This window comes from Homo sapiens, chromosome 2 (genome assembly GCF_000001405.40).
Source record: "Homo sapiens chromosome 2, GRCh38.p14 Primary Assembly".
NCBI classification, from domain to species: Eukaryota; Metazoa; Chordata; class Mammalia; order Primates; family Hominidae; genus Homo; species Homo sapiens.
In genome coordinates this window covers 138559281-138580122 of record NC_000002.12, presented here as the reverse complement: position 1 = coordinate 138580122, position 20842 = coordinate 138559281, and the positions used below count along the sequence as shown (strand labels likewise).

Genomic DNA, 20842 nt, shown 5'->3' with positions numbered 1-20842 from the left:
ATATGCATGAAGAGAATAAGAAATTTTAGTAGAGGCATTGGAACACTGAAAGAATCAAATGGAAATTCTGGAAGTAAACTCATTAGGTGAGCTTAACAGCAAACTGGACTCGATTTAGGAAATAATGTGTGAACTTGAAAATAGGTCAATAGATAATACCCAAATTGAAAAACAAACCAGTTAAAGAATAAAAAAAAGAAAACCAAAACAAAACAGAGCATCTGAGATATGTGAGGCAATATCAAATGATTTAATATATGCATAATTGGAGTCACAGATGGAGAGGAAAGAGAGCATGAGGAAGAAAAAATATTTAAAAATTTTTTTTGAAAACTGATGAAAGACACCAAACTATATATCCAAAAAGCTCAAGAAATCCTAAGGAGGATCAATCCAGAGAAAATCGTACCTGCAGTAAAACTGCTGAAAACCAAAGATAAAGAACAAATTTTAAAAGCATACGAAGCAGGGGAAAAAACCACATATTACACACAGTGGAACAATACAAACCACCACAAAACAAAACAAAACAAAACAAAACACGAAAAAAAAACCAGAGACCAGGACCCAATGAAATAACATCTTTAAAGTCTTGTAGGGGGCAGGGTGGGAAACACTTATCAACTTAGCATTCAATATCCAGTGAAATGGTCATTTAAAAATGGATTCTTTCTGATCACTTTAGAAAGAAAAAATAAATTTTAAAAGTTGAAGGAGAAATAAAAAGAAATTTGAGACACACAAAAGCTTCAGTAGAAGAAATGCTAATAGAAATTCTTCAGGCTAAATGGAAATTATGCTAGAAGGAAATAAAGATCTGAAAGAAGGAACAAAGAGCCCTGAAAGGGTAAATATTTGGGTAAATGTAACTGACATTTTTTGTGAGAAAAAAAAAAAAAAGGGCCAGGTGCGGTGGCTCATGCCTGTAATCCCAGCACTTTGGGAGGCCGAGGTGGGTAGATCACGAGGTCAGGAGATTGAGACCATCCTGGCTAATATGGTGAAACCCCATCTCTACTGAAAATACAAAAAATTGGCCGGGCGTGGTGGCGGGCACCTGTATGTAGTCCCAGCTACTCGGGAGGCCGAGGCAGGAGAATGGCGTGAACCCGGGAGGTGGAGCTTGCAGTGAGCAAGATGGTGCCACTGCACTCCAGCCTGGGCAACAGAGCGAGACTCCGTCTCAAAAACAACAACAACAAAACTCCGTATGTATAAATATATGTTTTAAATGTACTTTAAAAACTCTTGCCTATTTTAAATTTAAAAAATGTATCTTGTGTTTTATATCATGTGTAGAAGTAAAATATAAGCAGATAAAAGCACAAAAGGTTGAACAGAATTAGACTGCTGTATGTGAAGTGTCGTATTAGTTGAAACAGACTGTGCTAAAGGTACTTATTGTAATCTTTAGGGTAACTTGAAAACAGATAAAAGGAATTGTAGCAAAAGTTTGAACATGCAAGATAAAACAGAACATTAAAGTGCAATTCATTCAGTATAAAGCAGGAGAGGAGAAAGAGGGGAATAAAAAATGGATGGAATAAATACTAGATATCAAGATGGAAGAGTTAAACCCAAACTTAAAACTAATCACATTAACTGAAATGGAGTAAACACTCCAAGTGCAGAGATTTTCACAATGGATAAAAAGCAAGATCCAACTATATGCTATTTACATGAAACACACTTTTTTAAAGAGAGAAGTAAACTGAAGGTAAAAGAATGGGGAAAGATAACTTTTAAAACAATATAAAAAGCTGATGTGACAACAGTAATCATTAAAGTAACTCTAAAATGAAGAGGGTCTCACTATTGATAAAGATCTTTTGTGAAAATTAAAAAAAATCAACGAATCAAGAAGACATAACAACCTTAAATATGTGTGCCCTTAATAACAGAATTTCAAAATACACAAATAAAAAATTAACAGAACTAAAGGGAGAAGCAAACCAATCCATGGATAAAGTTAGAGATTTTAACACCATTGTTCGGTAATTGCTGGAAAAAAGGAAACAAAAATGAGTAAACATATAAATAGTACTATCAATCAGCTCTACCTAATCGTCATTTATAACACACAACACTTAACTGCAGAAAACACATTCTTTTCAGATGCATATAAAACCTTCACAGAGCATATTGTGCCATAAAACAAGTATCAACAAATGTCAACTGATTGAAATTATACAGAGCATATTATTTGACCACCAGAGATTTAAGTAAGAGATCAATAAAACTATGATACCTAGGAAAATTCTCCCAAATATAGAAGGCAAATCCATGAGCCACAGAATAAATCCCAAGGCATATTAGAAAATATTTTGAACTTGTGATAATGAACATACATCCAACAAAATATTATATAATGTAATTAAGGTAGCAGATAGAGAAAAATTAAAAACTTTACATGCTCATAAGAAAAGAACTATATAAAAATCAATGATTTAAGCCTTCACCTTAAGAAGCTAGGAAACAAAGGGTAAGTAATAAAGCTAAATGAGGACACACTGATGAAACAGAAAATGGACACCAACAGAGAAAATGAACAAAGTCTGTTTTTTATAAATATCTAGCAAGATTGATCATTATTAATTAATAACTGTTTCTCTAATTGTCAGCAAGGTGAATTAAAGTAAAGGACATGTCTTTTTTTGTATTTTTCTTTTGGCATCACTGTATCTTATACCAAATAAGGGCTCAATTGTATAATTATTACTAAAAGGAAACACTTGTCCATTCAGCCTAAAACCTTAAATCCCAAGAGGAATAGATTTGATCAAGACTTTGATGTGCTAAGTTCTTTTATGCTTGAATGTTAACAGTTCTCCCTCCTCCTCCTCCTCCTCCTGCTCCTCCTCCTCCTCCTCCCTTTCTCTCTCTCTCTCTCTCTCACACACACACACACAAACACATGGAAAGTGTCTTTTTTCTTTTTAATTTTTTTAGACAGGGTCTCAATCTGTCACCCAGGCTGGAGTGCAGTAGTGTGATCTTGGCTCACTGCAGCCTTAACCTCCTGGGCTCAATCGATCCTCCCACTCAGCTTCCCGAGTAGCTGGGACTACAGGCCCGTACCATCATGACCCCAAATACAAAATTTTTGCAGTGTTTGTAGAGATGGGGTTTTTGAACTCCCAGGGTCAAGCGATCTGCCTGTCTCAGCCTCCCAAAGTGCTGGATTGTAGGCATGAGCCACCACACCCGGCCGGAAACTACCATCAGAGAATACTATAAACACCTCTATGCAAATAAACTAGAAAATCTAAAAGAAATGGATAAATTCCTCAACACAAACACCCTCCCAAGACTAAACCAGGAAGAAGTTGAATCCCTGAATAGGCCAATAACAGGCTCTGAAATTGAGGCATTAATTAATAGCCTACCAACCAAAAAAAGTTCAGGACCAGACAGATTCACAGCTGAATTCTACCAGAGGTACAAGGAGGAGCTGGTACCATTCTTTCTGAAACTACTCCAATCAATAGAAAAAGAGGGAATCCTCCCTAACTCATTTTATGAGGCCAGCATCATCCTGATACCAAAGCCTGGCAGAGACACAACAAAAAAAGAGAATTTTAGACCGATATCCCTGATGAACATCGATGCAAAAATCCTCAATAAAATACTGGCAAACCGAATCCAGCAGCACATCAAAAAGCTTATCCACCATGATCAAGTGGGCTTCATCCCTGGGATGAAAGGCTGGTTCAACATATGCAAATCAATAAACATAATCCAGCATATAAACAGAACCAAAGACAAAAACCACGATTATCTCAATAGACGCAGAAAAGGCCTCTGACAAAATTCAACAGTGCTTCATGCTAAAAATTCTCAATAAATTAGGTATCGATGGGACATATCTCAAAATAATAAGAGCTATCTATGACAAACCCACAGCCAATATCATAATGAATGGGCAAAAACTGGAAGCATTCCCTTTGAAAACTGGCACAAGACAGGGATGCCCTCTCTCACCACTCCTATTCAACATAGTGTTGGAAGTTCTGGCCAGGGCAATCAGGCAGGAGAAGGAAATAAAGGGCATTCAATTAGGAAAAGAAGTCAAATTGTCCATTTGCATATGACATGACTGTATATTTAGAAAACCCCATCATCTCAGCCCCAAATCTCCTTAAGCTGATAAGCAAGTTCAGCAAAGTCTCAGGATACATAATCAATGTGCAGAAATCACAAGCATTCTTATACACCAATAACAGACAAATAGAGAGCCAAATCATGAGTGAACTCCCATTCACAATTGCTTCAAAGAGAATAAAATACCCAGGAATCCAACTTACAAGGGATGTGAAGGACCTTTTCAAGGAGAACTACAAACCACTGCTCAACGAAATAAAAGAGGACACAAACAAATGGAAGAACATTCCATGCTCATGGATAGGAAGAATCAATATCGTGAAAATGGCCATACTGCCCAAGGTAATTTATAGATTCAATGCCATCCCCATCAAGCCACCAATGACTTTCTTCACAGAATTGGAAAAAACTACTTTCAAATTCATATGGAACCAAAAAAGAGCCTGCATTGCCAAGACAATCCTAAGCCAAAAGAACAAAGCTGGAGGCATCATGCTACCTGACTTCAAACTATACTACAAGGCTACAGTAACCAAAACAGCATGGTACTGGTACCAAAACAGAGATATAGATCAATGGAACAGAACAGAGCCCTCAGAAATAATACCACACATCTACAACCATCTGATCTTTGAATCACCATAGGAACAGAATGCACCATAGGAACAGTAAGTTCAACAGCCTCCAAATGAAATTTTTTTTTCCAAAAATATTCCCATTCTTGTGATTACTGTATCAGGGAACAATACTACCCTCCACCCAGTTAGCCAAACACAAAACCTGGAACCTGGAAGCCACTCTTAACTCCTCTTTCTCCCTTCTACCTACACAATTTATTTTCAAGTTGTTTCAGTGTTTCCTCTTAAATCTCCCCTTAATGGAAAAAGCCCCCTCCAAACTATGTGAAGATTGATAGATTGTTGATCAGCATGACATACCCCCATTTGAAACACTTCAGTCCTCCCAGGTTAAGTCAGGTTCCTTTAATAAGGCCTATAATAAACTGTAACCCTGTCTTACTGGTTTATGTTAGTCCTTTCTTCCCTTTACACAGTAGGATATAGCCATCTTCATTTTCATTTCTATAAATGTTCTATATGAACCTTGGTCAGCCTCTAAGACTTCAAATAATGGGCTGGATGACACCCTCACTAAGCTGCTTAATTTCCACTGAATCTCAATTTAGACATCGCTTACTCAGAAAAGCCATCTGGGACTTCCACCCTCACCCCTAGGCTAGGGGCTCCTCTTGTATTCCTATCACAATTATCACATGCTATTATATGACTGCATTTTCTTCAAGAAAATAAACTTCATGAACACACAGACTATTTCATCACTGCAAACAGCTCCACACAGTGCCAGGTACTCCATTTAATTAACTGCTAATATAAATTAAACTGAATTGTCTTTTTCTTCATCTCTCTATTCTTGTCCTCATAATCTGGAAACATTTCTCAACCTTGTCTTCTACTGATTCAAATGTCTGCTTTATCATTTCTGGTGTTGATCAAATTTAATGCATCTAACTTTAGTACCTTTTTTCAACTCATGCCATTCTCATTTTTCATCTTTGCCTATTATAATGACCATCACAATTTTTTTAGGACTTTATAAAACACACATTCTAAAAACCTCTCCTTATGGCAATATATCTATTTTAAGCAGAATAGCAGAGTTCTCAGTGTTTTTTTTTTTTTTTTTTTTTTTTGCTGTAATTGTTATTTACAAATCCCACCTTTTTTTCTCTTTGCTTGTTATCGATTAAGGCCTGGTTTGAATCTGAGCAAATGGGTAGGATACCATAGAAATTGTTCAGGTGTTATGTCACAGACTGGCACAAGACTACACCTGCATCCTTTACAAAAGGAACAAGGGGGTGGGGGAACAGCCAGGGAGAGGTGGAAAGGAAGCACAACAGGACAACGGGAATGACAAACCTTTTGTTTGCCAGTGTACACTGCAGATGCATGCAGACCTCTCTGGTACTCCCCAACACCCCCCCAAAAGCAGCAACATATTATATGAAAGATTTCTACCAATGTGTCTTCTATTTAAAAACAGTGATCAAAGCAAGTACCACTCTTGGCCTTCTCGTAGGAACAAATGATTCTGAGGTGGCAGACGGAGACATCACATCCCAGTGTTCTCAAAGTATTAAGGGGACTGGCTGCAGCAGAGGAGGAAGCAAAAGGTTACACAGAGTTCATTAGTAACATTTACAATATTATTAACCACTTATCTTACTTTACTATACTTGCATAGATGATGTGCTAAATTTTTCAACCCTCTTTCATTCTATTAGGGAAAATTCAGTGCATGTATGTGTGTCTGAGGTACATGGAAGGTTTTTCACTGTGCCTTTCTACTACTATATTGGCCATAATTTTAAAGCACTAATTGCGTTACTGTTACTAAACTGATTCAGGAATATCCTGCCCCAATTTGCTTTCTGATAGCATCAAATGATTAAATTGTCTGGGATAACTGAAATTAAGACAGGATAGGAATGACAGGGAAAAGGTGATCTCTGTTACATTAATGGTACGTAGCATTAGAATAAGTCATCCAGTATTGATGGTTCATACATATTAAAATAAATGCATATTAATATTTTACAGTTAAGAATGTCTTCAATTGGTTCCAAAAAACAAGAGCTCCCCTATGTAGAAAAGACAATTACTATGCATGATTTACCGTATCAAATACATGGCTCTTTTGCAAAGCATCATACCAACCTGAAAAAGAAGAGTATGTATTCTTCAAATAAACACAAGATAAGCCAATTAATCTTGAATAAGTAGTAACAACTTTATTTTAACTCAATGTGTTGAAATGCAAAAAATATTTTCAGCAACAAGATACATGTATTATGTATCTTATCATTAACATCAGCTAATTAAAAACGAGGCTGAAAAGTTCAATATAAGTTTTTATACACTTGAATCTTGAAAATCAATTTCCCCAAGAACTAATTTTTAAATAATTTTTGCAGAATTTCATTTTCAAAAATGAGACTCAGGTAAGTTACATCTTCATTTTTTAAAACTGAATGCAAAATTTACTGGGTTACAGTATACAATGATAAACTCTGACAACAAAAAAATTTAAATATAATAATTTCTTTTCAAACATAAAGTTCACATACTGCAAACAGAAGACACTGTGTGATTTCATTCCTAGTAAGGAGTTAGTCTTGCATATGATAGGCACTCAATATTTGTTCAACTGGACCTAAAATTTACATCATTCCATGAACACTTAAATAAAGTAGAGCTCATTAATTTGTATAAAAAAGGTTTGTAAAATACACTTTGTGTGCGGAAAGTGCTGTCTTTATAGCTGTCTTTATAATCTGAGAACACTAAAACGAACCCACTCACCCACCCACCTTCTTTTGTAAGAATAAATTGAATATTTTTATTTTATCCATCAAAGAGCATGCATGTCCAAGTCAGAATAATTCACCTCTTCAAGTATACTTGGCTCTAAGCCAAGTATACTTAAGTATGTTGAGCTGGATTTTCACAATCCCTGTTCTATTTTAGTAACACTGGGTCATATCTATGACCCACATTTTATAAAGAATTCTGATTAAGATTTTAAATTTATGAACAAAATTTAAATGGGTATATTATTAATTCTAATTTTGGCCATCTAAGCTCTTATTTAGATCCAGTTTAAAAATAAATGAATAATGTTCATGACAACTTTTTGAGATCTTTGTTAATATTTTAAAACAATTTTATTATAATTGATGTCCTAAAAAGGCACTGTTTTCACATTTCATCATGCAGTAAATTGATCACATTTTTGAAAATTATCATTTCCTCTGTTAATCAATTGTCCTCCAAAGTAAAGCATATTTAAATGAAATATTTCTGCTAACCTGAACTTTCAACATTTAACTGATTTCTATTTCCAGAAATTCACTCTTTGTAACATACCACACACAAGCCCCAAGCAAATACAGGTATGTACACAAACACACAGACACACACGCGCATACACACACACACACACGATCACATATTTCATGCAAGGTTCTCCAATTACCAATTCAAGACAATGACACATGACTATTCAAGGAGGTAACATTGGCAAGCCATATTATGGCACCTTCATTATTTGTGCTCCAAATATCAACACACATTAAAATTAAAAATGAAAAGGCACAAATATAGTATTTCTAAGTGTTGGTCTAAACAACAGTTACCCAATGATTATTCTTATAGTATGCAACATTTGAAACCATTCACTACCTTCTCAGAAAAAGCCTTGCTTAGGTGACAAAGGGAAACAGGAACAGGCTAATAGCTCAAAAGGCGGGACAGAGTATCTATACCTATTTTGAAAGTAATGTATGCAGTTTAAAAATGAGGAGAAGGAGGCTATTAGAGCACTCATGTCAGAATACATTAAGTGTTTTTATCATTGCCTCAAGAACCCACAATACCAAAAATATACATAATAAATAAAAAAATAAATCAACTACCATATGATTCTGTTAGTATAATGGTAGGCATTATATTATCTGAAAAGTGGACATTTCTACAAACATGGATATTCTTACAGCACAGTGTTTGACATTTTTGGTACAAAATGTGCTACCAAACTAAAAAAAAAATCTTTATAATAAAATCCTTAAGATTTGCAATAAACTCTCGAGTAAGTAAGAAGAAGCTGAAATGTTCATTATACGGTATTTTTACTGAAGTCACTGTGGTTAGAAATATAGATTCAAGCGGTGAATTAAATCACAATGTGCCGGTGTGGTGCGCATTGGATATAAATGGATACATCAGTACTTTTCTGATATATGACAACATAATTCTATAGCCTGAGGGAATTTTTGTTTTCTTATAAGACCCTCGCAAAATCTTAAAACTGGAAATGTATACATATGTATGTATGTATGTGTATTTTTAAAATTGTATATTGCAAACTTGAGGCTCAATCTTACGATGGATTTAAGGAAGTGAATTTCTACTTCCCATAATACTCTTACACAGGATGAAGTATGAAGTTCCATCACCAGGTAAGAATCTTTCTTCTATCCCAAGAGATTCTTCCAATTTCAAATTTAAGTTACCACGACAAAGAATGAAACTACATAGAAAGTAATGAAGACAGGTGAAAATACGATCTTTTTAAACTCTAGGTTGTTGTGGATAACAAATGCTTAGTTGAGTTTTTTCAATGTAAATATGAATCCAAATGAATCTGGACATATTCGAATTGCTTCAGTTAACACCTAACAAAGAGATAGCAAAAATAAGGTCTATTTGAAAACACCTCAAGCTTCATTTTTTCTTTTGTCCTGAATTCAAACATTAAATAAACAAATTATACAAATTTTAATCTGAAGAATAGTTATGTTTGCAAACATAGGTATATGCGTTTTTTTCCAGTGACACACTTTTTCCCTTGTGGTCAAATATAAATCTTGCCCTTAAGAAGCACACTGGTCACCACCACAGTAAGTCAGATGTGGTACCCCAACACTGACTGCTTCTGCTTCTCCAGGACAATGCACCAGAACAAACCTCCCTTAAGAACACAACTATCAAACACTGAACGTGTATATGCATTTAAAGCTAAAATTCATTTATAATAAAGAACTGGCCCATGAAAAGCAGTTTATAAATAGTTTATCCTGTTCACATTATGCAGAATTTCAGTATCATCCACAATGTTAGTACAGTAACTGAAACACAATGAAGAAAAACGGGGAGTGAGGGGAGGTTCCTAGTGTGACCTGACATAGTCTAAGGGTTCTCTCCTTTTGTATGCATCTCCCAAAGGCAAGTATCAGTTAATTGTTTGAAGGAGAGTAGACTATCCAGGATTCATTTATTGTTCAGGTGTCTTTTCCAAAGTGTGAGAAAATAGGAGTCAATTCAATAATGAATATCTGTAATCCAAACCAATTTAACTACAATCAAGGATGTCTTTCTCATCTATTATCACAAACATCCCAGTTGCCTCCATCTAAAAATTTCTTTGAAAAGTTAAGACACAATTAATTATACCTTATTAATTCCCTCAAAAGCAAAAAAATATATGTACCATTCAGCATACAAAAGTTACACAGTAAAAGTGCATATGTATCTTTCTTAATTGGCCCACTCATTAAATTTGCATTTGGTCATCCTTACTTTTAACATGTACAGAATTCTTCGTATAAATGTAGGTCAGTATAAATTAAAAAAAAATTACTTCCACACAATACATGCTTTCTTCATGAAATCTTAACCTCAATCAGTTCTCAATAATTGTAAACTTAGAATAAACCCACAGTTTGTTGGACAGTTAACATACAAGACAAACATCATAAATGTCACTAAAAATCTAGGCCAACTCATTGCATATTTGCCCCCTGAAATGAAAAATAAATTAGAATTGAAGCAGTGTATTGCCATAACTTACCTTGAAGGTAAGAGGGTTCTCCCATATTTATAGAACTTAGATTGGAGATATTACTGGTAATCTCCAATACAAGTGCTTTTAAAGAGAACTTAAACTTTGAGATAGCATAGGACAAACCCTATAAAATTCATTTTTCTTTTTGCAAAATAATGGAAGATCCTTTTGAAACTTAGTATCTTCAGTTATCAATATTACTGCATTATGGAGCTAGTGCAATCCTGCATAGCCTTGGTCAAAATGACAAGGCACAATAAAAAAAAATTAAAGTATTATATGAACAAGACAAGTCATTGAAGATAATTTAAGGCCTTGAAGTGAATTAATCAGTCTAATTTAAAGCTGAAGAATAAACCATAAATTATCCACCTGAAATGCAAGCAATATGCTTTTTCAGCTTCTGTTCTGTGGACAAAATAACAGAAACAACTCTTGCTTATGGTTTGTGTATTAGAATCCTTCTGGACCTGGAGGAGTGAAAGTCAATTCCATTTTTCAACTGTTCATGGAAGATTTCAGGACTGTTTTAGCCGTTTGCGTGGAATGCCAAACTGTGGACACTGTGCAGATGCTAGTGCTCGAAAGGCTTCTGCTACTAAATGAGGGTGAGACTGAATCATGGACTTCCACCCTGATGTTTCCATTATGTCGGTTGCTTGGCTGAAAAATAGAATTAAAAGATATTTACTAAAGAATACTTTTCAAAATGCACTATTGCACTGTTAATTTCTTAAAAACTTGCAAATTTCAAAATATTTGAACACTTTTTACCTATGTATTCAAATCATTTGCTTTTATTAAAATACCATCTTTATCTTACTGGTATCTTCTGTGGCAACTGAAACTATTAAATTTTTCTGGAAGTTCGGCTCCCTTAAAGTATGTGACATGGGTCTTCATAGTTCAACTCTCATTGTTACAATTTCTGTACCAGCTCTTTCAAGAGTCCCTTTCTCTTCTTTTACATGCCTCTTATAAGGCAGATTTTCTCTTGAGTTACAAATATTGGACTCTACTCTCCCCCCTTAACATGCATTACTAATTCTATCTCATCCACTCTTCACAATTTTAACTATGAAATTCAATGATGTTAACTACCGATTTGCTAAATTCTAGGGTTCCACACAAGGTTCATTCGCAGCCACTTGTTTTTTTCACTTGGATGTGCCTCAAGACCCATAAATTCAGGATTGTCAGATGAGAGCTCATCATCCCTCTCCCCAACCCCAAATTCTTCCTCCTACCTTTCCAGTCACCTAAAGCTTCCACCATCATCCAGTGATGCAAGCTGGAAATCTGGCAGTCACCCTAGACTCTCCTCTCCAATCATCAAAACCTTATTTTAAGGTTTGAAAGGCTTCAAAGATGTCCTGAATCCCAGTTTAAGGCCCACATCATCTCACGTTTGGATTATGACAACAGACTCCTAAGTGGTCTTCTAGTTTCCTGCTCCTCTTAAACCAAGCTTCCATAATGTTCCCTTGGTAACACAAATATGACTATATGAGGCCCTCTTCATTGTTCCCCACTGCCCATATCCAAGTTTTTTAGAAAGAGAAATACAGCATCATATTATGTTTGGTTTCTTACTCTACCCCCCACTTCCTACCTCCCACTTCCATGATCTGGCATTTTATACTCTGATATTGAACTGCTTATTGTACCCTATGTACACTATGCTCTCACCAAACAATAACCGTAAATAAATGCTTAAGCAACAAATCTAGTTACCCTTCCTTGCCTCAATTCTCTACTTTATGCCATCTACCATCCAAATAATATCCAAATATTAGATTCTCCCTTCAAAATATTTCTTACTTTCTTTTCTCTCTAGCCCCACTGTCACCAATCAAGTCTAATTTCCACCGTTCATCTCTTGCCTGAACTACTCTAGTAACTTTCCAACTGGTCTACCTGTATTCAACCTTGTTTCTCAACTACTATTGCCACCGCAACCTCCCCACAATTCGTTCTCCACCCTGCATGCAGAGATTGTTAAAAATGCAAAACTAATCATGTCCCACTCTGGGTGAAAACCCTTTACTGGACACCTACTACTCTGAATATCTAAAAATTCTAATGTTATTTTACATGGCCTTTCAGGGTCTGATCTCTGCCTACTTTCTCCAGCTTCTTCTCATTAACTACCTCCCCGCCCGCAACACACACACACACACACACACACACACACACACACACACACACACACACACACACACACACTATACTGCTCTTTCTCATTGTTAAAACTTTGCGCATCTCATTTCCTTTTTCTGGGGTGTACTTTTCTTCCTCTCTTCCCTCTTCTTCACCAAGGTAACCTCTACAATATTTCCGGCATTTAGTTTTGTGCTCTGATTCCTAGATTAGGTTAAGTCTCTGCTATATGCTCCTATGGGTATGCTACATATTCCCTATCATCACGCTTTACTGCAATTAGCTGTTTAATCTGCTGCTAGACCATAAACTCCGTGAAGGCAGGGAAAATATATGTCATGCTCACCACTGTATTCTCTATACTGTGCACTGTGACTTGGGAATTTACTGGATAATAAAGGATAAGTATCTGTCAAATGAATGATCAACTACTACTTTACGCTTCTATACTTTGGTTCATGCTGTCCCTTCTGTCTGCAATGCTTGCTACTTCCTTCTTACTTCTGCTAACTCCTATTTGTGTTTTAAGACTCAGCTATATCCAGGAAGCCATTTCTAAATTTCCAGGGTTAGTCAAGTGCTTGTACATATTCTCTTCTATTGTATTACTTACCATATTATAATGAAATGATATATTTATATATCTATCTCTATTAGATAACTTTCCCAAGACCAAGAATTTTCCCTTGAAATTTTTTTTATATGCAGCACCCTAGCATTGTACTTGAAACACAGAAGATGCTAGAGTAATGTCTGCTGAACTAAATAGTAGCTGATACCAACAAAACAATTTTTTAAGTTGGCAAACATCAAATTATTAGATTGGTGCAAAAGTAATTGTGGTTTTTGCCATTAAAAGTAATGCCAAAATCTGCAATTACTTTTGCATCAGCCTAATACCAGTGTGTCATTGTGTTCAAAATTTCAATTAGTTGTTTAGAATCACATAGATACCAATTACACCTTTTTCATTTATTAATAAATATCTATTGATGAATATGAATACAGCTTCTCCAAGGGGGTACAAAACAAGCTATTTTTTTTGACACTGAAAAAGTTATAAAATGTGAAGTATTTCCTTAGAGTAAAACTAGAGCTTGAAAATGGCTAAGTACAAAGGATCATAAATTGCCATTTGATGCTAATATAGTATACTTTAAACTCAAAACAATTTTTCTCTAGGATCAAATGCCATAATGATATCATATTAGCATACACTGACCAACGTATTATACAAGACAACCAATAATTTTAAAGTAGTCACTACTTTTTACTTTCAGAAAACAGAATCTACAAACTAATAAGATGAACTCAGTTAAACAACTTAACATATATCAAAACAGATTAAAGCAATGGGAAATAATTAAGTCAACAAACTAATTCATTTCCTTCTTTAAAAATTTTTGGCCGGGCACGGTGGCTCACTTCTGTAATCCCAGCACTTTGGGAGGCCAAGACAGGCGGATCATGAGGTCAGGAGATCGAGACCATCCTGGCTACCACGGTGAAAACCCGTCTCTGCTAAAAATACAAAAAAATGAGCCAGGTGTGGTGGCGGGCGCCTGTAGTTCCAGCTACTTGGGAGGCTGAGGCAGGAGAATGGCGTGAACCCAGGAGGTGGAGCTCGCAGTGAGCCGAGATCACACCACTGCACTCCAGCCAGGGCAACAGTGTGAGACTCTGTCTCAAAAAAAAAAAAAAAATTCCCACTTTCTTTTATCAACTTTTGATAATTTGAGGAAAGGAAATTTAAGGGTTTATAGGCAAAACTAATCAAAAGCAGATGCAAACACTTCAACCTATTGACTTCTTTCCCCATTGTGATTTCAAATAATAACAAAGAATATAAAAGTCATGAAAAGTAAGAGAAGGGAAAAAAGTAGAATAGTATGTTCATATTCACAAGATCCAGTCTTAGAAAGATATAGCAACTATCCAACCCCTTACAGGTTCACTAGGGAAAAGGGAATATCAAATTGCTACCATTTTTGGACTATTAGGAAGCTAGCCTAATATAGCATATTACTCAAGGTACCTGGCTAACCTAAGAAGCAGTGAGTCAGCCTTCAAATGTAAAGGCTTTCTCAGCAAATCTGGAGGGTAACATTCCTCATAGGAGTAAATGAATTATTTCCCACACTTTTTGGAATGCTTTCTGAAGGGGCATGGACTAGATCTCTAGCAATACCTGGACTCTGCTATATACTACATGGCATTATGCGCTTAAGATATTACAGCATCCATCCGAGGTTGCATTAGAAGCTGACCTACAAGGGAGCATAGCCTCAGGAATCCACTAAGTAGTCTTTGTTTGTTTTTAATAACTGGCAGTTTGCTTCATGTAACATTTGGATTCATACTTATTGTAGATGAACAAAAGGCTATGCAAACACTTAATCTCACTTATGTAGAGCAACTTTGAGTCAGAAACTGATGTCATCTTACTTGCTGTTCCAGTTTTTCCCATCTTTACACCCAAGTTGTCGAAGTACACTGCACCTGCATTGAAGATTTAAACATACTTAAAAAAAAGTCCAGAGAAAAAATATTGAAGTTGTCATGCCCACTGAAATACAAGCATAGCTTACCTATTAATAAAGTCTATGGCTTGTGCTTTCAACTGTTCTGCACTGTGCAAATCTGCAAGGACAAGGGTATCTGCAACATTCTCTACTGAGAGGTTACTACACAAAGCTTCTTCGCACATGACCTTCAGCCGTTCCAGTGCATACTATCCAAAATGAAAACATAACCATTAAACATTTACTCCAACTAAGTTCCTGAATACATGATACATTTGCAACTTGGAAAATAAGGGTAAAATAGATTATTATTTAAGATTATTTTAAAATTCTTTAAGTTACTGTTTTAACCTAATACGAAGTAAATATAAACAAATGCACTTAGAAGAAAGACTAATTTTCTTTAGGAAACTGCAATTTGCATAAGCGTATTTTTGAAGTAGGATTTATTCTAAAAAGCTACCTTATTACTCAATATTCTTAATAAATATACTTCTCTTGTCTACTACTTCAAACACTAATGTGTACCACCAAGTATACTGCATGTTGCCACCACTCAGTATTGAAGGATGAATTCATTGTAACGTTAAATAAATCGTATTTATAACCACTAAACATTCTTGCAGGTATTAGTGTATGTTATATAACATGTTGAGCAGCTTTACTAAGGTATAACTGACACACAATAAAGTACACATAAGGTTCACCTTCTGCTAAGTTTATACAGCCATAAAACCATCATTAACTCTACAATAAATATACCAATTGTCCCTCAAAGTTTCCCTCTACATCTTTGTAATCTTTCCCTCTTGCCCCACCCTAGGTGATACCTCTGATATGCTTTCTATCACTATAGATTAGTCTGCATTTTCTGGAGTTTTCTATAAATGAAATAACATATTACATGTTTGTTTTTGTCTGACTCCTTCATTCAGTATAATTATTTTGAGAATCATGAATGTTATTGCCTATCAATAGTTCAATCCTTTTTATTCCATCATACATAGATATACAACAATATGTTTTACACATTCAACTGCTGATGAATATTTGGGTTGTTACCAGTTCTTGGCTGTTACAAATGAAGCTGTTAGTCATATACAAGTGTCTGTATGGGCATATGCTTTCTTTCCACTTAGGTAAAAACCTAAAATTGGACTCACTGGATCACAGTGTAAGTTTATGTTTAACTTTCTGAGAAACTGTCAAACACTTTTCCAAAGTGGTTGTACCATTTTACATTTCCATCAACAGCACACGAGAGCCCTAATTTTTCCGTGTCTTTAACATGAGAATTCTATTCTTCCACATCCTTGATAACACTTAGTATGGTCTTTGTACTTTTAGCCATTATAATGATGTGCAGGAATATCTAATGATGGCTTGAATTTACATTTCCCTAACGACCTAATGATGTTGAGTATCTTTCATTTTTGAGACAGGGTCTTGCTCTGTTGCCCAGGCTGGAGTGCAGTGGCACAATTAGGGCTCATTATAGTCTTGACCTCCTGGGCTAAAGGAATCCTCCCATCTCAGCCTCCTGAGTAGCTGGGATTAAAGGCACATGGCACCACACCAGGCTAATTAAAAAAATTTTTTTTTGTAGAGATGGGGACTTACTATGTTGCATAGGCTGGTTTCAAACCCCTGGGCTCAAGTGATATTCCAGCCCAGGCCTCCTAACGTGTTGGGATTACAGGTGTGAGCCACCATGCTTGACTAGAATATCTTTTTATGTATTTCAGACATTATTTCAGAAAATGTTTGCTCAAACGTTTTGTCTTTTAGAAATAACATTGTTTTCTTATAACTGAGTTTTGAGAATTCTTTATATAGTCTGAATACAAAAGTCAGATATATTCTGAATAAAAGTTGTTCATTAGATATCTGCTGTGCAAATATTTTCTCCCAGTTTGTGGCTAATCTTTTTATTCTGTCTTTCGAAGAAAAGAAGTTGAAATTTTATTGAAGTCTATTTTATCATTTTTTTTCTTTTACAGAATTTTTGGTGTCACAGCTAAGAAATCTCTGCCTAACCTAACATCACAAACACTTTCTTTTATGTTTTCTTTTAGAGGTTTAGATTTTAGGTTTATGATCCATTTTGCATTACTTTTTTTTTTTTTTTTTTTTGAGATGGAATCTTGCTCTTTTGCCCAGGATGGAGTGCAGTGGCATGATCTTGGCTCACTGCAACCTCTGCCTCCTGGGTTCAAGCAATTCTCCTGCCTCAGCCTCCCAAGAAACTGGGATTACAGGCACACACCACCATACCCAGCTCATTTTTGTATTTTTAGTAGAGACAGGGTTCACCATGTTGGCCAGGCTGGTCTTGAACTCCTGACCTCAAGTGATCTGTTCACTTTGGCCTCCCAAAGTGTTCGGATTACAGGCGTGAGCCACCATGCGAGGCCTGCCTTACTTTGTATACATGGTTTGAGGTGCACATGTAGGTATTCAACTGCTCCTGCACCACTTGTTTAAAGATTATCCTTTTTCTACTGAACTGTCTTTGCACTTTTGTCAAAAATTAAATATTCATAATGTGATGGTCTATTTTCATATTCATATTCTTTATTCTGTTCCATTATTTGCCCATCTTAACACCAATACAACACTGTCTTAATTTCTAAAGCTTTATAGTAAGTCATGATATCAAGTAGTGTTAGTCCTCTACTTTATTCTTTTTTTCCCCAAAGTTATTATAATAAAATTTTAAATCAGCTTGTCAACTTCTGAAAAAAAAAAAAGAAAAAAGACTGCTAGGATCTTGAGAGGAACATGCTGCGTCTACTATCAATTTTAAAGACAACTGACATTTTAACAATATTGAGACTTTCAGTCCATGGACAAGATTTATGTACTTATTTAAGTCTTCCTGAGTTTCTTTTGGCATATTTTGTAATTTTCTTTTTTTCTTTTCAACTTTTATTGTAGAAACAGGGAGATACATGTGCAGGTTTGTTACAAAGGTATCCTGTGTAATGCCACGGACATAAAGATGGGAACAACAGACACTGAGGACTCCTTGAGGGGGTAGAGAGGGAGGGGGGCAAGGGCTGAAAACTTACCTATTATTGGGTACTATCATCATTACCTGGGTGATGGGGTCAATCATACCCCAAACCTCAGCATCACATAATACCTTTGTAATTTTCAATGTGTAGGTTTTAACCCTCTTTTTTCAAATGTATATCTATGTATTTAATACTGATGATGCTGCTATTGTAAATGGTGTTTTTAATTTAAGTTTTTATTGAGACAGTCATAGATTCATGTGCAGTTGTCAGAAAAAATAGATTCCATATACACACTTGGTCCAATTTCCCCAATGGTAACATTTTTCAAATGATGTGTATATATACACACATACCATCCATCGACACATACACATGCATACGTACATATATACATACATACATGCATATGTGAACTTGTATACTGAATGTGCTTTTAGGATTGAAAACCATTGGCTTAGAGATTTTTCTGATGTTTTTTGCAGTTTCTCTACCTTCAAAAAAATCATCATTACAAAAAAGTATTATAAAATTATTAATATTGTTTTTGCTCTATGCTGTCATAATAAAAAAACAATCTCTATGTGGAGAGAATTAAGTTACATAATATCCAATATTTTTTCCTTTTTTTAAAAAAGGTCATGCACTATATCTCAAGACTAAAAATATCTGAAAATTATATATGTCACTGTGTGTGTTCTTTTAAATGGAAGTCCATATACACTCAAAACGACTGAGTTTACAGGTTACTCTCCCAAGAAAAAAGCCACTTCCTTCTGGCTCAAGATACTTTCACATCATGACTTTTAAAAAAAAATTTCATTTCCAGATTACCCCACTGTATGCTATTTCATAAAGCTCTCAAGAGCCATCTACAAAATACGAGTTATTTGGAGTTTTCATTTGATGACAGCTTTCTATATAAATCAAGCTTGAGGGTATATTTTGGTTCCTTAAGACCTAATTACTTACTTTGTCTGCAGCTGCCAACAAGTTGTCAGCCATTTTGTCAAGGTTTGGTGCTCTCCCTGTGTAAATGAATCTCATCATTTCTTTAAAAACTTCAGGGTCTAAATCATTTATTTCCACTCGATTCTGATATCGAAAAACAACACAAAAATGTTAAAAAAAAAAAAAGTACACACAAATGAACCAAAGTGAATCTTTGACAGTAATTTAAAAGCCCTAAATCTACACTAAAATAGTGTATAACTCAAATATACATACACAGATATTTCTAAATTCTACTTTAAAATTGAGGTAGGTAAACTTCATTAAGTACTTCGGCAAAGTGAAGTGGACAAGTCCAAGAGGAAAAGCATACACTATCGGAGAGGTGGGAACCATGACCAGCTGGAGAGCCCATATCCTGATATTCAGACCAAGCCAAGCACCACCATGTGGAAAAAGGAGCCCCAATTTTTCAATTAAAAAGTTAAAAAAAAAAAACAAGTAAACAAACAGAAAACTATAAGCCAAATAAAATACATCTGTGTTAAGTTTCTGACCAGTATTCTAAAGGACACTGGCTATTAACCCTTTCTTTGTTGAATCCCTAGGTCCTAATACAACACCTAAGATCCTGTAACAAACAGTTCTTAATTCCCAGAATTAAGCAAAAGTAGGGCAAGGTACTAGAGGTAACAATAAAGCCCACTACCTCAGAATTCTCCCATTTGCAAAAATGGCATGTATTATCATATACTGGCACTTCCTTGCTTACCTGAAAAATAGTCAAGTCCAAAGAGTGCTTTTTTACTGCGTGTTTTTGTATTTAGTTTCTTTGCTGAGATCAATAAAGCTAAATATCTAACTAAATGACAGCAAATTTTTCTGACCCCTTGATGTCAATAGTATATGACATCATTGATGTCTCCCAACTTGGAAGTGATCAGAAGGCTGATCATAGCATCTCCCCAAACCAAAACTTGGAGAAAGAAAGCAGTTATTTTATTGCAGCATCTAGTTCTGCAGAAAGAATAAAATTGAGCCACATGAAAAAACTCTGGAGTTGTCCAGCTGGAGCCCTACGGTTCACAAGTTATGCAAACAGCAAAGAATCAACCTCTGATCTCTAACATAATTACATTTCATGATGACAAGTAAAAGAGAAACATCTGGGGAAGTCAAGTAGGTAACATCCTGATTACAGTTGGTATACAATAATACTGATGTCATCTATGTTATTTTTGTTGCTAGAAAACAGATTCCAAAAATCAATCCATAAAGTCTTACAAAGGGAGAATATATACCTTGAACAGAGACTTCTCAAATAGCTATGGACCAGAATAGTCCTTTGGATAACTATCCTTTTGGATAACAACTATCCAATTTACCTACCAGAAGGGCATAAAAAATAGCTGTTCTCTGGAATATTGACTGCACATCCACACTGAGCTACATCTATTGTTCTATTATAGAACACATTTTTTTCCTGTTTGTAAAAATTTTCCCTGCTTATCACAGTATGACAATGAGAACATTGTACTATTACTTTTAAAACATACACCCAACTACTTTACGTTTATATAAATTCAATATTAGCCTTTAAGCCATGTTTACCTTTTTGCTTTCTTCCATTTCATGTTCAAACATGGCGTTAAAAACTGGAGATCGAGC

The 20842-nt window shown here is 35.3% G+C and overlaps 1 protein-coding gene across 3 annotated transcripts in view; it reads right to left on the bottom strand.

The window, feature by feature from the left end:
* Nucleotides 1–6575: 6575 nt before the first annotated feature.
* SPOPL (speckle type BTB/POZ protein like) overlaps nt 6576–20842 on the bottom strand; it is a 71778-nt gene continuing 57511 nt past the window's right edge. For all 3 annotated transcript variants that reach the window (NM_001001664.3, XM_047444116.1, XM_047444115.1), the window contains 5 exons: nt 20786–20841; nt 19196–19318; nt 15273–15415; nt 15130–15183; nt 6576–11187 (listed from right to left, as the gene is read on the bottom strand). In NM_001001664.3, coding sequence (NP_001001664.1) covers nt 11043–11187; nt 15130–15183; nt 15273–15415; nt 19196–19318; nt 20786–20841 — 521 coding nt within the window. In that variant the 3' untranslated portion in view covers nt 6576–11042. The remainder of the gene's footprint in view (nt 11188–15129; nt 15184–15272; nt 15416–19195; nt 19319–20785; nt 20842) is intronic.